Below are 17,091 nucleotides of genomic sequence, written 5' to 3'. Positions count from 1 at the left end.
TGGCTCATTTCTCCTTCCCTTGGTCTTCAAAGCCAGCAGTGTTGGCCTGATTTCTTCTCATGCTGCCATTTCCCTAGTTTACTCTTCCTTAGTCACATCTTCCTCTTCCATTTTTAAGGACCTTTGTGATTCCATTGGCTAACTCTGACTATCTAGGGTAATCTTCTTTTAAGTCCAGCTGATTAGTAAATTTAATTCCATCTGCAAACTTAATTCCCTTTTGCTATGTAACAACATATTAACAGGTTCTGGGGATTAGGATATGGATGTTTGGGAAGCCATTATTCTGTCTATCATAACCACCAATTCTATTGCTCAGTAGATCTGAATACTGTTTTCCTCCCACTAGTCTCTTCAGTTCTACTTCTACTTAAACCTTTGATCCATGCTATTTCATCCAACTGTCATCTTGTGGTGAGAGCATCTGATTGGCTCAGTGCGTTATCTTTATTTATACAGGTCTTTTATATTTGGCTCGTTACATGCCATTGACTCAGAAGTTAACTTCTTGCAGGTCTAATATAAGTCCTGATACAATTGGTTAGAAGTCAAAGACAAGGCCATACATTAGAATATTTCTAGCCATGTGTAAGGGAGCTCCTATTTCATCAGGGATTGTCAAAGGGAAAATGTCCCTCAGAAAGATGGCTGTGGATATGGCAGAAATCTTGATTGCTTGTCCAAGACAATTTCCATGGAAGGAAAGTACAGGTGCAAGTATTGGGAAATGGGGTTGTCAAAATTTACATACCTAAGATTTAATATGCAGAAATTTGACTGTTTCTCTTTAGGGAACTTAACTTGCTTATGAGCTGACATTCTCTTTCCTAGGAGAGGGAAAAATTAATCTCATCACTTGAAGGTTAGCCTCTTTCAGATCAAAACAGCCTTTTGTGGTCAACTAAGGATTTAGTAAGTTCTAACTCTTTTTCTATATTCTCTAATCTTCTTTACTTTGTTTCTCCATGCCTGGGCGCAGGGAGAAACTTATATGACAAGGTATCTGGTGTATTTGCTTGCTTTTGTTCTCTTGATATAGATAGTGAACTTGACTGCTACTTAGAACTTGGCCAATCTTCTCAACCTGCTTAGGGCCCCTCAGCTGTAGGTGGTTCTTTACCATTATCCTTCAGCTGGGTGTCTGCTTCCCACTTTCCATCTCTCAGCCTCTGCATTAGAATTTCTTTGATCCTGCACGGAGCCTATCTCCTAGCAGACATACCGACCCTTGTTCCTTTCTTGCTCATTTCAAAGGGCTTTCTTAAATTTCCATGTCCTGCTGAAGCCAAGGAAGATTTAGGACATAGAATGGCATTGAAGATTCACTTTGCCTAAATATGCCACATTACCACTCACCTTCGGCTGCTCTAGACATTGGTTTGCTCTTTTATGATGAAGTGTGATTCAGACTCCCTCCAGATATTCTGAAGCCTGAATCCCATTGTTCTCACTAATACAATGGTTAATTAAATGTATATTATAGATTTCTTAAAGTGAATAAATAATATAATGTATGTGAAACACCTGAAAGTGATATAGAGTAGCTGCCTACATTGATTGCTAATAATGATCTAGCTGGGTGCAGTGGCATGCACCTGTAGTTCCAACTACTTGGAAGGTTGACATGGGAGGATCACCTGAGACCAGGAGTGCTAGGATTGCCTCTGTGAATAGCCATTGCACCCCAGCCTGGGCAATAAAGTGAGATCTGTCTCTAAAAAACTTTTTTTTTTAAATAAAAAATTTAAAAAATTTTTACGTCCTCTAAAAGTTTGGAAGCATATTTAGTTTTGAGTAAATATTTCTGGGGCATCTGTATTATGATTTCCAAGAGGTTTCTTTAGGAATTTTGTTAAGCAATTATATCATTGAGTAATATCATTTTTTAGATATTAAATTTGAAGTTATTTTAAAATGTATAATTGTGATGATTATCTTGGAACTGTAGACTTAATTAGAGCAAAGTGACTTAGAACATATATTATGTTAACATAGCTGATTAGCATAATTAACATATGTTAATTAGAACAAAGATATTTAGAACATAGATTATGGTTTTTTTGGCTATCTCACAAACCATAATCTAGGTTGTCATCACAGAGAAACTTGGTCTTTGAATGTTACAATGAAAGTACATTAAAGCCAGTTGGTTAAGATTGTAGGAAAGAAAGAATGTACAGGTGACAAGTATTCTTTTTGTTAAGACTTATGTCAGGGTGGCAGCAGGAGAACTTCAACTTTAGGGAAACTAAAGCATGTGAGTGTATCAGGAGGAAAAGTATCCTGTTTTTAAGTCTGTCTATATGCTACATTCTTTCTAGTAGAGAAAAAACGAAGGCCAGTTTTGCACAGCATGTGAAGAGTTGACAGGATTGAAATGTAACTCTGTCTGGTGCCAAAAACTCGTATTATTTCCACCATGCTGTTTTTCCTTCGAGAAAGAAATTGGACAAAATGGCAAAGCAGATAATTATTTACAAAACAGTAAACTGAAGAAGAGGAAAAGATACCTCAAGATATGTTTGAAATATTAATATATGAAATATTGTAGAAATATGTCTTAGTGATGGAAAGAGTTAGAAATATACACATATTATGAAAATATATTGTGTGATCATAAAAATCCATATGAAACCTTCTATTCTGAAAATTATTTACTAAACATATATCAGGAGAGCTTTGCAATAGCTGTCATGACAACAAAGATGATTGTAGTCTTTGGAACCAGAAGCAAGAGCTAGTTTTTTTGGCGGGCAGTTATATAATTTTAATTTATTTTTATTACCAAAGAAAGCAATTCAATTGTGGTTTTATATATAAAATAATACAGCCAGATATTTACACTAGGGGTTCTAGACTTTAACTTCTTGACTTAATTTATTTCACATTTATTTGTGAGTTACATCTTGTTTTTGTTAAGTATTTAAAAATTATCCTAAAAGGAAAATTTGAGAGAATATAAATTTATATATTTGAGAAGATACTTATATGCTTGAAATAGTTTCTGCTGATTTATAATCTATTTATTCCTTAAAGCACCAAGTAATTAATATGTCCGGCACATGTATGTAGAGACTTAATAAATGATATTACCTGAAGTATAGATTGCACATCTGAACTAATCCCCACCAACTATGAAGCATATTGTATTCCCTATACCACAGGAAGGAGGTTAGACTGCATAGAGAAATGAACAAGGTATTAATGGTACAATGCACACTACATTTCACACCAATTAGCTCTATTGGTTTTACTGCAAAGAACTACATATCCTGGATCAATTAAAGTGATGTTGTGGTTTATCTGTTTGTACCTCAAATCAATTAATCAATGTTCCTAAATCTTATCTTAGTCTGAAATGAAAGAGAAAGCTTTGCATTGGATGAAGTTCTTCATGGATGATATGGGTCTTTAAAAAACAGAATTCAATAATCTGCTTCTTAGCAGAAAGCATAAGCAATCCAGTAAAATGCAGGACTCCTGGATGAATCCAAATATGGAGATTTTATCACTAAATTAACGTGCCTTGAGTACTTTGAGTGAAAACTTATAAGTTCAAAGTTCACATGAGTATGGTAAAATCTCATAGTGTGAATAAGTCACTTTTAGGAGCAAAAATTGATTTAAATCTTTACAAAATATTAATTTTAATTCCAATAAATTTTAATTTCAAATTAATTTTTATTTCAAATAAAAAATTATAAGTCCATGTAAAACTAATATGCTCTGTGGTCAATAAATGTTAGTATGTATCTGTGTCCATTTGAAGCCAGTATTCACCAGTGTTATCAGTGCGCAGCTGGGATCATACTGTAGAACCTGTTGGTAGTAAAGCAGAATGCTGGAGTTGTGCCAGAAAAAAGCAGGGTTGAACTGATTCCTGTATGTGCCTGGATTCACTTCTCATAAGACAGTAAAAACCTGCCAGGTCCTGGCTTTCAAAGATGGTTTAGTCATGCATGTGCACCCCATCTGTTGGATGCATGAGGGATTTCCTTCTCATCTCAGCCCTCCAGCCACAAACACTGTGACTGCTTCCCCTCCAACCCCCCTTTCTTTAATTCTTCCTCTCCTGCTGAGTGTGTACAGGCTGTGTAAGACAGGTGCAACTTATGCCACTCTGGGGAAATCCTTCCATAGACACTAAGGTGAGCCAGAAAGGTAGTCAAATTTTTCTTTTGGCACCTAGCTTAAATTCAGTATACTTTAATTCAGTGATTAAAAACTAACAGCAACATTTACTTTGATTAAAAAAAATACTCCATTACCGTTCTAACCAAAACCTTAATGACCTTCATCTCTTCTATATGTGAACTGTCTCCTAAGCTCCTCTTGTTATCTAGATGAATATTAGCAGGGGCTTTATATGTATTCTCTCTCTCTCCGTTCTGTAGCACATAACCCTTCCTCCTGCCTTTGTTTTCCACACTCCTCCAGGTTTGACCTCCCATGCTCCATTTCGCCTTCTGTTGTCTAGGATGGCTACCCTTTCTCTTACGATGCTGATGACAGATAATACCCAGTTTCGAGATTGGAGAGTGCAGCATCAAGCCTCAAAATTGCATGTACAAACCACTGTGGTACAAGATGTTTTACAACCTGTTAACATAACCTATATTTTGGCAAGCTGGTGGTCCTAGAGCAAATTTATATTTACATATTTTTTCCTGACACACTCAAACTCCAAAAAGATCAAGATAAAGAACAGGGTGGTGTTTCTAATCAGTTGTTTATAGTTTTAAATACATTCCAATGGGAACTTGTAAGCCAAATAAGTAACTATTGTTCTTACTAGTTTTTTTTTTCTTTCACACAGATTTATGAGAAATATCAAGATTTGTATACTGTGGAACCAAATAATGCACGCCAGCTGGTAGAAATTGCAGCCAGGGATATTGAGAAACTTCTGAGCAACAGATCTAAAGCCCTGGTGGTGAGTTTAAATTGGATCTGCTCATTTTATTATTTTCCTTACTTATCTATTATTTAATTTTCATGCTCTATTGAGGGGTTTTGGTATGCGTTCTTCTTCTTAGTAACTGTGTTCATCTGATATGTTCATAAAAAATGAGATATCATGGTTTAAATGCAAACCCCAAAATATTTCTAATTATGTTTATTTTATATTACTATTATATTTTAATAATCTGTGTTTAATTGATTATATGTATATGTATCCACATGTACATCATGATACATAATAATAAATTGAACATGTTTAAATCCATATGTACATCATGATACATAATAATAATTGAACATGTTTACACAACATAAAACCCAGAATATTATCATCCTCTTTAGTTGTATAGTCTCTTATTCCATCACCCTTCCTCTCTGCTAGAGGTGGCCAAAATGCTAGATATTCAAGTTACCATTTTTTTTCTTTTTAAAAATAGTTTTCCCTCACAAAAATGCTTTGCTAAACAAGTTATTCTTTAGTTTGCTTACTTTTTAGCATTATCAAATTCATATTGCACTGTATGTAATCTTCAGCTACTTGGTTTTCTCCATCAACATTGTGTTTGTATGATTTATATGTATGTTTGCACTTAGATTTAATTCATTTTATTCAGTTAAATATTTTATGAGGATGTATCTCAATTTCTTCATTTAGTCTCTGTAGGTGGGTAAATTATTATTTGGATTATTCCAGATGGATACTATTATGAATAGTGCTGCTGAATTTTCTTGAACAAGTCTCCTAGTACTTATGTGTAAGAATATCTGTAGGGTCAATACAGGAGAGTAGAATTGCTAGATTGTAGGGTATTCGCAGTCAGCTTTATAAAATGACAATTGTTTTCCAAAATAATCGTATCAATTCAGACCTTCACTAGTTATATATGAGCCCACATTGATACATATTCTGGCCGACATGTGGAAGTGTTACACTTCTTAATTATAGGCAATCAAATGGGTGTAAATGTTACCTCTGCTTGTCACTAATGAGGGAGACATCTTGCTGTATATTCATTTACCTTTCTTGTTTCCTCTTCAGTGAAATTTTTTTGTACATTTAAAAAATTGATTTGTAGGTTATGTATTCCTGATGCTAATTCATTTTAGTTATATATGATGCAAACATCTTAATTTTATTGCAAAGTCAACTTTTCTTTTAATTATTAGTATTGTAGAGTGTTTTCTTTAAGAAAACCTTGGCTAACCTGAGGTTATACACATAATTTATTTCATTCTCCATGATTCTAAGCTTTGTCTTTTGCATTTATGTGTTTAGTCCACGTGCAAGTTATATGAGTATATAATTTTAGTCTGCATTTCAAATTATTTTTTCCAAGGAATTTTTCTAGGGCATTTATAAATTAGTTTGCCTTCCCCTAGTAAACTCCAGTTGTCCAGCTCAATATCTAGTAGGCTGATGTGGTTTGGCTGTGTCCTCACCCAAATCTCATCTTGAATTGTAGCTCCCATAATTCCCACGTGTTGTGGGAGGGATGTGGTGGGAGGTAATTGAATCATGGGGGCGGGTCTTTCCCATGCTGTTCCCGTAATAGTAAGTCTCATGAGATCTGATGGTTTTATAAAGGGGAATTCCCTTACACATGTTCTCTTGCTGTCGCTGTGTAAAATGTGACTTTGCTCCTCCTTTGCCTTCCGTCATGATTGTGAGGCCTTCCCAGCCATGTGGAAGTGTGAGTCAATTAAACCTCCTTCCTTTATAAATTAGCCAGTCTGGGGTATGTCTTCATTGGCCATGTGAGAACAGACTAAATACATAGGCTAAGTCCCTCACTATATTCTTCTTCAGAATAATCTTGAGTATTCTTAAACTTTTACCTTTTATCTAAATTTTAGATTTGGCATATAATTATCCAGGAAAATGTCTACTGGGATTTTGATTTGTATTATATTGATTCAGACCAAATTGAGAAGAATTGATATCTTTATTATATTTTGTCTTTCTATTTATAAATAGTATCTCTTATTTAGCAGTATTTTATACCATTTGATAAACTTTAAAAATTTTTTTCATAAACTTCTTATACATCTTTTGTTAGATATAATGCTGGAGCTTCAGTTTAGCTCCTCTTATTCTTTGTTTGTTTTTGAGACAGCGTCTCACTTCATTGCCTAGCCTGGAGTGCAGTGGCACAATCACTGCTTACTGCAGCCTCGACCTGCTGGGCTCAAGCAGCCCTCCCACCTCAGCCTTCCAAGTAGCTGGGACTACAGGCATGTACCACCACACTTGGCTATTTTTTAATTTTTTGTAGAGATGAGGTCTCCCTATGTTGCCCAGGCAAGCCTTTAACTACTGGGCTCAAGTGATCCTACTGCCTTGGCCTCCCAAAGTGCTGGGATTTCAGGCATGAGCCACTGCACCCCGCCTGGTTCCTCTTATTGTGTAGACTTCAGTACATTTATGGATATTTATCTCAATACAACTCTGAATTTCCTGTTTGCTTAATACTCATTGTTCAGGTTTTTTTGTTTACTATCTTTTATAAATATCTTGACCCTCAAAAATTTTCTGTTCGTTCTTTCTTTCTTTCTTTCTTTCTTTCTTTCTTTCTTTCTTTCTTTCTTTCTTTCTTTATATTTCTTTTTTATTTCTATGCTTCGTTTCTTTCTTTATATTATGCTTCTTCAAATATCCAAGATATTGTTGTAGTGTAGCAGGTATGTTGGTTGGAATTTTTGTTACACCATGTTGCTAGAGGTTGAAACATTTCATTGAAAATAATAACTGAGGTCAGATGCAGTGGCTCATGCCAGTAATCTCAGCACTTTGGGAGGCCGAGGTGGGAGCTGAGGTCAGGAGTTCAAGATCAGCCTGGCCAACAGGGTGAAACCCCGTGTTTACTAAAAATACAAAAATTAGCTGGGTGTGGTGGCAGGTGCCTGTAATCCCAGCTACTCCAGAGGCTGAGGCAGGGAGAATTGCTTGAACTCGGGAGGCAGAGGATGCAGTGAGCTGAGACCATGCCACTGCACTCCAGCCTGCGCGAAAGAGCAAGACTCCGTCTCAAAAAAATAAAAATAAGTAAATAAATAAATAAAAATAGTAATTGAGTAATTCATAGGAAGATAAACTTTCATTACTGGAAAATGAAAACATTATTATCTTCAATTTTGGAGAGAGAATACCCTTTTTTATTTAAGTAAATGTTTGTAATAAAAACTTATCTAATAAAAATAAGGTGCTATCTACTGAAGTGATTAATATTCAGGTGACAGTGGAAAATGATTCGATTTATATTGATTTTATCAGTCTACATTTTTCTTCTGGATGTAGGAAGCAGGTAATTTGGACATCATAGTCTCTTAAAAAAGGTTGTGGAATGAAATAGTGTGTCTTGCCTTAATTGGATTAAAATAGAATTCTATTGAGACTTTCTTTCTTATTTCTCATTTGGAATGGAAGCTCAAGACACCTGGTGCATTATTTGAGTCTTGTGAGGGATCAGTAGAATATCTTAAGCACATGATGACAGAATACTGAAGACACAATGGCTAATTAAGTGTAGAATAGTTCAATTTTATTTCAGGGAGACAGATTCATGTTTGTTTTCAAACTAAATTCTTTGCTTAACTTCCTTGATTCCACAAAAATATAAAACATTATTTCAAAGAGAAATATTTTGAGGCTAATGAAGAACATATGCTACATTGTATTGTAAATGAATGCAAGATGGCATTGTTAATTTGCTTCTATTTTAGTTGTAGGCTTATACTCAGGGAGACATCTGGATTAAAGGAGCTTTATTTCTTCTGGGTGGGACACTAATGTAATTTTATAGGTAAATACAGTGGAAAACATCATGAATATACAAATCTAAGGTAGATGATAAAATTTAATACCAGTTAGGCTTTATTGAGTGGTTACTAAGTAGCATTATCTAATTATTTCCCATAATAATACTATGGTAGAGACACCATTATTAGTCTCATTTTTCAATGAAGAAACTGGGACTTTGAGAGTTCCTGAAACTTGCCCAAGGAAATATATCTAATAAGTAATGTTTGCCAGTGCTTCTTAAACTTTAATATGCATGCAGATCACCCGTGGCTCTTGTTAAAATGCAGATTTTTATTCAGTAGATCAGGACAGAGATAGTACATTTCTTATAAGCCACCAAGCATAAGGTAATGCTTATGCTCCTGGTACAAAGACTATACTTTGAGCAGCAAGAATGTGAAATTTGAATGTGAATTTGATTGTGAAATTCAAATTCAGGTGTGTCTGGCTTCAAGATCTACATTCCTACTTATTACATAAATACATCCTTTGACCTAAAGAAGTGTATAATTATACAAAGGAAGAAATGAAGCTAAGTAGTATTTTGTAAAGTTCTATTCATCCATGCTGAATAAGCATTCGATGATCTAGATAATAGAATATTCTGGAAGGCTATTAATTTTTCAGTGAATCCTGTATCAATTAACCATTTTCAAAAGAATGATTTAGTGAAAGAAAATATATGGTATTTAAACAATTTTCATTTTTATTTGAGTTTGGAAAATTTTAAAACCTTCATTATTCTTCAGTAAACATAAGATATCTTTGAAAATATAAATGTAAACACTGTGAAAGAAAAATAAATGTAGCTGGTTGTTTTCTTATAAGCCTACTAAAGAAATTACTTAACAGTCTTTGATAATTCAGGTTTTTGAAAAAAGGAAGTTAAAAAGTGGAGGGTTTTTTGGTGAAATTATTGCTTTTTAGTATCTGCAGTAATTGTTATTGTGCATACATGAACACAGATTTTATGTATTTGAAGATTAAATTGTTAATCCTATCTTTTATAATATTTTTGAATAAAAAGTCAATTTAACTTATTGCCTTATGTGCTAGCTTGTTTTTGTTTATATGTTTGACTCTAAACTACTTATTGCAACTTTATTTTACACTCATTTGTGCTTTTGTCTTTTGATCAGCTCCATCTACCAGCCTTATGAAGAGCTGAAAGATAAAACGATATCAAAACCTTTTAGTTGCTATCTCTTTGATAGCAATTTTGCTTTTTTTTTGTTGGGGGTGGGGGCTTGTTACTATATAAAATCATGTTATGATTCTGATGACTCTTATGTATTAGGCCCTTACAGAAACTCTGTGAAGTAGACACATTAAACATTTATACATTCTTATTTTATAAATGAGGAAATTCAGAAGACCAATGTTCTTATCCAAGACTGTGTAGATAGCATGAGGTAGTGGTAGAATTCAACTTTATGACTTCTGTCTAAAATCCAGTTTGTTCCCCTCTAAACCCACATTCATAATTTGAACTATTTTATTTCCAAGATGTGTCTGCTAAATGACTTTTTTTTCTGACATTTGCTACGTCTATATCTCAGGAACTGGCTCCCTGCAATGATTATATAACTAATATCATTGGATTATTCTTAAGCAATCTCAAATCAAACAATGTTTTGAAGCAAAAAAGATATAATCATTTAACATTATTATGAACATACATTTCAGCTTGAACTAGGCTGAAATATCTGCAAGTGTTAATGAACAATTTACAGGAGAAAGCTTTTCAACAAAGCAATCCAACCTCCAATGCGGCCTTCTGAGAGATGGAGATAAATGAAATCTGTGGTCTCATTGTTCACCAACCAGCCCAGCCAAGGGGATCTACTCAGTAAATGAAGGTCTCTAGGCATTTTGCTCAAAGAAAATAGGATCAAGGTTATAATAAACAAATTTTTCTGGTGACATTTTCCAATTATGGCATATTCTGTCTCCCTCTGGTTGTCCTGGTAACTTTAATTAAAGCTGCTCCAATCTATTTTGAAGCTTTAAATACTGTAATATACTCCAACTCTTAATTCAACCTTGATATTGAGCTTATGATTAGATAACAAAAAAAGGAACATGACAAATGTTTTCAAGTGATTTTTAAAGTAAGTTTTGTTTTTGTTTTCCTGGAAGTGCTAGATGATTGTTATTTAACCAAATAGTTTTTTTTTTCTTTAACTCTTAGGCCAGTCATTCTATATCATTTCTATTTGTCAGCAGTGCCAGTAACATTTTAGAAAAATGTAGCTTTCTGGTCTTTATCTGTAGGGATTTTAACTAAAAAATGTGGAAAGAAACTCAAGAAAAATTAGATACAAAGAAGTGAGAAGGGGATCCAGGAAGGAATTCTGAAATTCTTTAGAGACTCAAAGAAGAATACAAAATTTATCATGTTTGGCTATTAGGGGTCATTGATTTACTTTTGTGAGAATAGATTCAATAGAATATACTGGAACAGAATAAAGACTGTAGTGTTAAGGAGTTATTGGAAAGTGAGACATTGGCAAGAAATTTATCTGGATTTTCATGAAGTTTGGTAGGACAGTGAAGGAAAATGTGGAGTACTACTAAAGAATGTATTTCTTTCTTGTCTATTTTTGAGACTGGAGGACATATAAGCATGCTTATAGCTAGAAAAGCAGAAATCCATGAAATTTGAAAATAAGAAAAAATAGTCTGAATGTAGAAGGATGATTCCAGAAAAAGCAGACAGAGAAGATCGAGGTCATGCAATTTTCTTTGAAAAGATGGCGGAATATTTCACTTGGGACAGAAGGAATATTATTAGATATAAATAAAGACAGTTTTTGTTGAAGATTTGGGAGAGCAAAGTAAGAAAAGGTGAAAGGAGTCTATTATGGGTAAGTAAAATTACTGAGGAATAAAATCTAGGGCCTTCCTAACACTGAGAACAATCAGAAGATATAAAACACCCTCATGTTCTAAAAATGAGGCCCAATAAAAATGAGGCCCAAGCTACATATGAATTTCAAAGAGCTTTCTGAAAACTCTGTGTGTTTATGTGGATATGCATATTTTGACCATTAATCCAGAATCTATCTGGAGGGTATAAATTATCCAGGCCTTTGAGTCTGAGTGGTGAAGGGATTAGGTAATCCACTAATTGTTTTGCAAAATTGAGATTACTTTTATTTATTTGGATTTGATACATGCCTGTGGATGTTAAAAGGGAAGTGCTAAGGCTCGACATGTTTACCCAGTGACAGGGCAATGAGACACGGCATCAAGGGGCACAAACTTACATAAAAACAAGGCAGTGAGATGGAGCTGGTCTCAGATAGGACCCAACAGGGCTTCCCTCCGGGAACAAAACTAGTTTAGCAGAAAGAGGGTAGAAATACACTGTCAAATGGGAGCTGAGGGGCTGGGGTTTAAATGACCCTCAGAAGCATGACATTGCAATTGAATGTCCTGGGTACCTCCAAACAACTAGGAAAGTATCTTAATAAGGGAACAAGTCAGTGTTGAACATCGATCAGCCCCAGAGAGTAACAACACATAATTATAGTCAAGAAAAGCCATCCATTGCCAACTTTCTCTTAGTGCCATTGCTGAAATCACCGTGTTTGAGCTGCTAAGAAGTGTCAAGATGAAATCAGGAGGAAAAACTCAGAGAGTGGCCATAGACCTCTACCACATTCTCCATCTGAAGTTTCTTGGTCTGAAGCAGTACTAACCTGGTAATGGGATTTTAAATGAATTTTACATTAAGCTTAGACATTTGATTTTTATTCCAGACTAGATATTTTAATTGATTAACTGAGACTGCTTTTAGCAGTAACACTTTTATATACAATGGTGAATGGAAAAATTAGGGAACCTGAAAGGCATAATGTTGTGTTCAAATATGATTAATAGACAAGACAACAAAAGGGTGATTTAAACAGAGTGTGGATTTATTTTTCCTCCTGTAATAAGATATACGTAGGTAGGCAACTCAAGAGATTTGCAGAAATCCCACTCTGTTACTTCTGTGTCTATCTCACTGGGCAACCTTTGGCTGCAAGGGGGATAAGAAATGTGGTTTTAGCTAGGCCACTGCTTCTCTGAACAAAATTGGGCAAACTCTCAATTACAATGTATATCCCATCAGTTGATGTCTATGTTAAGACTTTTTCAGGATTTAATATGAGTTTTATGGAAGATGGTCTAGAGAAAATTCATTTTAAAGAAGCAGAGGAGAGGAAAGGAAATATTGTTTTCTGTTGGCATTTTTTATATGGAGCCCCACCTTTCAATGTAACAGTTATATTCATATCAAATCAGCTTTCTCTAATATGGCTTGGCGCAATACGAAGAGTAGAAAACTGCAATTACTTTTGCACAAACTTAATAGAATGAAAAAGACTGTTGAATCCATCTAGGATTGAGGATTGGCAAAGTAAACTTTGTAAACATCAAGGATATTTGAGAATAGTCAATGGTAGTTGAAGTATTTGAAACCAGGAATCACGTTAGATAGGATCTGATAATGGTCAAGAAATAAGAGTTCAAGTAAGTAGTAGACATTTTTATGTGGATAAAGTGTAAGTTTGTAAGGAACAGTGGAGAAACAAGAAGTTGTGGTAAGGGACAGAAATTTAAGAAGTTAAGTGTTCTGGGTAAAAACAAGGTAGAGGCATGAGTCAATGAGCTGGTTACTTAGATGGAGAAGAGTGAAAGTTTTCGGAGTTTTACTAGTAAGGGGCAAATTAATCAGTAGCATTTACTGACTGTCTGCTATGGTCCAGATGCTTTGCTAGGCACTTTCCATATATTTCTAACACTATTTCTGTTCTGCAAAGTACATATAGTTGTTTTCACTGTGCACATGGGAGAATGAAAGCCTGGAGAAGTTCAATAATTTGCCCAAGCTTACACAGCTGGCAAAGAATTCAAACCCAGCTGTGTATACAGTAAGTTCTCACTTAACATCATTGATGGGTTTTTGGAAACTGTGACTTTAAATGACACGCCATATAACAAACCAATTTTCCCACTGACTAATTGATATAAGCAAATGTGAAGTGTCTATGGCATATTCTTGGTCACAAAAATATCACTAAGCTTTTACGTAAACACCAAAAACTTCTGTTATTAAACACTGAAATAAATGTGAGCTATACGTACATTTAAGAAAGATTAATATGAACAAGTAAGATAATTATTTACCTAATTATCCCAGTTCAGAGTGTTGGGTGACCGGAACCTCTCCCAGAAGCTTAGGGTGCAAGATGGGAACCTACCCTGGACAGGACATCATCACATCACTGAGTGCACTCATGCCCATACCCACACCTACTTGTCATGGGGCAATTGAGACATGCCAGTTTACCTAATGTACATATCTTTGGGATGCTGGAGGAAGCTGGAGTGCCCAGAGGAAACCTATCCAGACATGGGGAGAACATGCAAACTCCACACAGACAGTGCTCTGGCCGGGAATTGATTTTCATTTTTTCTCATCAGCGTTATAACAAAACAATATCGAACAAAATGACATTATTCGAGGACCTGCTGTATCTACAAAAATACTTGGTGTTCCCTTGTGTGTCCTGTCATTTGTTTAAAAGCTTACAACATTAACTCATCTAATCTTTACAGTACATAGCTGAAACTAAGAAAGATTAAATGACTTCACCAAATCTTACATAGAGTGAGAGATTTGGTCTGGAATTCTTGTGTTTATGTTATCTAACTTTTAGGTGGCTGCATCATGTTTCTCAGCTCCATGGCATCTCAATAATCTTAGCCAAAATTTATTTGTCTGTCATTTGTCCAGTTAAATCAAAGCAGTCTGTCCAGTTGGCATGTACTTATTATAACTAAAAAAGCCATATTAATGCTCTACTGGGCTCTCATAGTACCATTATTTTCAAGTCTTTTAAAGTCAGCAACGTCATTTATTTTGCTTGCCCTACAGCTTGTAACACCTACCTAGAGTGTAGTTTAGCTAGTTTAGCTACCGAATAAAATTCAGACATAACCTGAAGAATATTTTTCCAGTGAATGGTTGCCCAGTGGATTGCCTCCTGATTTTTGAAATCCAATCTCCACAGGCTAGACTGAGCTCTCACTAAGATGTTTTTGTTTCTTGTTTTGCTTTTTGCTGATGCTTATAAGGCACCTACTTACATTTACATCTTCCAATCTCAATGTTTTTAACAAAATAACATGTGATTTACATTACAGTTAGTAGAACATCAGAATCATGTGGAGATGCCTTGAAATGTAGTGCAGGTGCCAACTAAGGAGATGTGCATGTTTTCTGCTGACAGCGAAAGGCCAAGTAGGGCCTACGACACTGTATGTTAACATCTTATTCATTGTATGAGCAGGAAGTGATGCTTGTAGCCCTTTACACCTTAATATATGGTTTATAACATTTGTCCACGCACCTTGGCATTTGGTGAGTGTCTATTTTACTGTTTTCTTTAGGTGGTTAAAAGCTGGTTGTGAGGGGTTTAGGTTGATATAAAAACGCTCTATTTTCTTCCACTTAATAAATAATAGGCTATCAGAATTTTCACTCAGAACATCAGGTTTTTCTGAAGCAGATTACTGCTTAAGTGGGAGATACCTGTCCTGCTTGATATCATTTGTTAATGTGGTAAATGGAAAGCCCCAGATACACCATCACATTTCCTCTCTTACGTTACACACTGGAGCAGCATCTTTATGGATTTTTAAGTCTAAAATAATTATAATGGTAGGAATTTGGGGCCAAACAGAAGTGATGGTGAAACACTAAGTGCTGTGTTTACGACCTCTTGAATTACACTAAGGAGACAGATCCATATACCTGTAACTGTGCTATACTCTCTACCGCACTCAGCATTTTAATTTTCGTAACATTTTGTTCTGATTAATGTATTATTTAAAGGTTAGCAGTGAAGTTTTTTTTTTTTTAAAACAACTCCTTCCTTCCTTCTTCTTTTTTTTTTTTTGGAGTTTGGCTCTTGTTGCCCAGGCTGGAGTGTAATGGCGCGATCTTGGCTCACTGCAAACTCCACCTCCCGGGTTCAAAGGATTCCCCTGCCTCAGCCTCCCGAGTAGCTGGGATTACAGGCACCCACCACAACACCCAGCTAATTTTTGTATTTTTAGTAGAGATGCGGGTTTCACCATGTTAGCCAGGCTGGTCTCAAACTCCTGACCTCAAGTGATCCGCCCACCTCAGCCTCCCAAAGTGCGGGGATTACAGGCGTGAGCCACCATGCCCAGCCAACCACACTTTCTGTTTTAAATCTCTCAGTGCTAGAGAGTGCATTTTCCTCCCACATTCCATGGAGTAGTGTCAGCACTAAATGAGTATTTGAACAAAGGCACTTTTGAAAAAAATGTGGTAATCAAATATACCTTTAAGATAGAAAGCACAATTAATGGTAGAGGGCACCTAATTATTTAATGGAAGGTTCAGACAAGGAAAGGGTTGGGGCAACAGTGATAGGCTCTGTCTTCTAAATGAAATCTCTTGGAAATGAGATTCTTTGAGTTGGCTTTAGGATCAGAAAGCACTATCTAATGTAAAATTTATGTTCTGGTAATGCAGCATGGGGGAAAGGGAGTGTTGGGTTTGTAATTACTTTGAGCAAAATGAGAATTAGCTCAAGTGGCTTGCAAAACTCACACAGGCAAAAACTACACAATTTGTAGAGCCTAGTACAAAATGTAAATTTGAGGCTCTTGTTAAGAAATTATTAGAATTTCAAAATGGCAGCATCAGAGAATGAAACCAAACATGGGGTCCTTCTGAATGTGGAGTCCTCACTGAGTCAGTCAGCCTCGTCTGACTGCACAGGTCTCACACCCACCAAAGCTGGCTGGTCCTGCGCATAGGTCGTTAGTGGTAGAGCTAGAACCAGAACTTGGGATTCTCAGCTACTTGTACAGTGTTCTTTCTATGATGATAGTCATCAAACTTTACTTGGGGACTTGAGAGTCTGTGAAATCCTTGATGATTGTTGAAAGATAATCCCAAAGTGAGGCAAAAAAAGAAAAAAATCCGTATGTCATTTCACCTCTTTTTTTTTTTTAACAACATAGCAAGCTCGCCTCAACAGAAATGCTCTGATCTGAATGTGCTAGTTAATAGTGTTTTGGGTGAAAGTAAATATAGAGAAACAGTGCTGATCCAAGGCCAACCTCTTTATTTCACATAATGGAATCTTTAAAGAGAACTTCATGGTATCCCATAAATTCAAAGACAATCTGATCAAGTAATGTTTGGTAACATTAAACAACATTTAGCCATTTATAGAGTTGGACTAAAAGTGGTGTTCTGATTCCTAAATGTTAACTTTGTTTTTTAATCTCTTGATATT

General features: G+C 35.4%; 1 protein-coding gene and 1 long non-coding RNA gene across 17 annotated transcripts in view; both read left to right on the top strand.

Annotated features, from left to right (window-relative positions):
- Positions 1-17,091, top strand: part of CACNA2D1 (calcium voltage-gated channel auxiliary subunit alpha2delta 1) — a 497,513-nt gene that overhangs the window by 103,889 nt on the left and 376,533 nt on the right. For all 16 annotated transcript variants that reach the window (XR_001744873.3, XM_005250574.4, XM_005250572.4 and 13 more), the window contains exon 3: positions 4,817-4,933. Coding sequence is in view for 15 of the 16 variants with exons in the window: in XM_005250574.4 (XP_005250631.1) it covers positions 4,817-4,933 (117 nt within the window). In the remaining variant the exon portion in view is untranslated. The remainder of the gene's footprint in view (positions 1-4,816; positions 4,934-17,091) is intronic.
- LOC107986813 (uncharacterized) lies at positions 4,940-16,803 on the top strand. The gene is made up of 2 exons (XR_001745254.2): positions 4,940-12,468; positions 14,960-16,803. It is a non-coding gene; the product is annotated as an uncharacterized LOC107986813 (long non-coding RNA).

The sequence above is a fragment of the Homo sapiens genome, chromosome 7 (genome assembly GCF_000001405.40).
Source record: "Homo sapiens chromosome 7, GRCh38.p14 Primary Assembly".
Lineage (NCBI taxonomy): Eukaryota > Metazoa > Chordata > Mammalia > Primates > Hominidae > Homo > Homo sapiens.
This window is presented reverse-complemented; position numbering and strand designations above follow the sequence as displayed.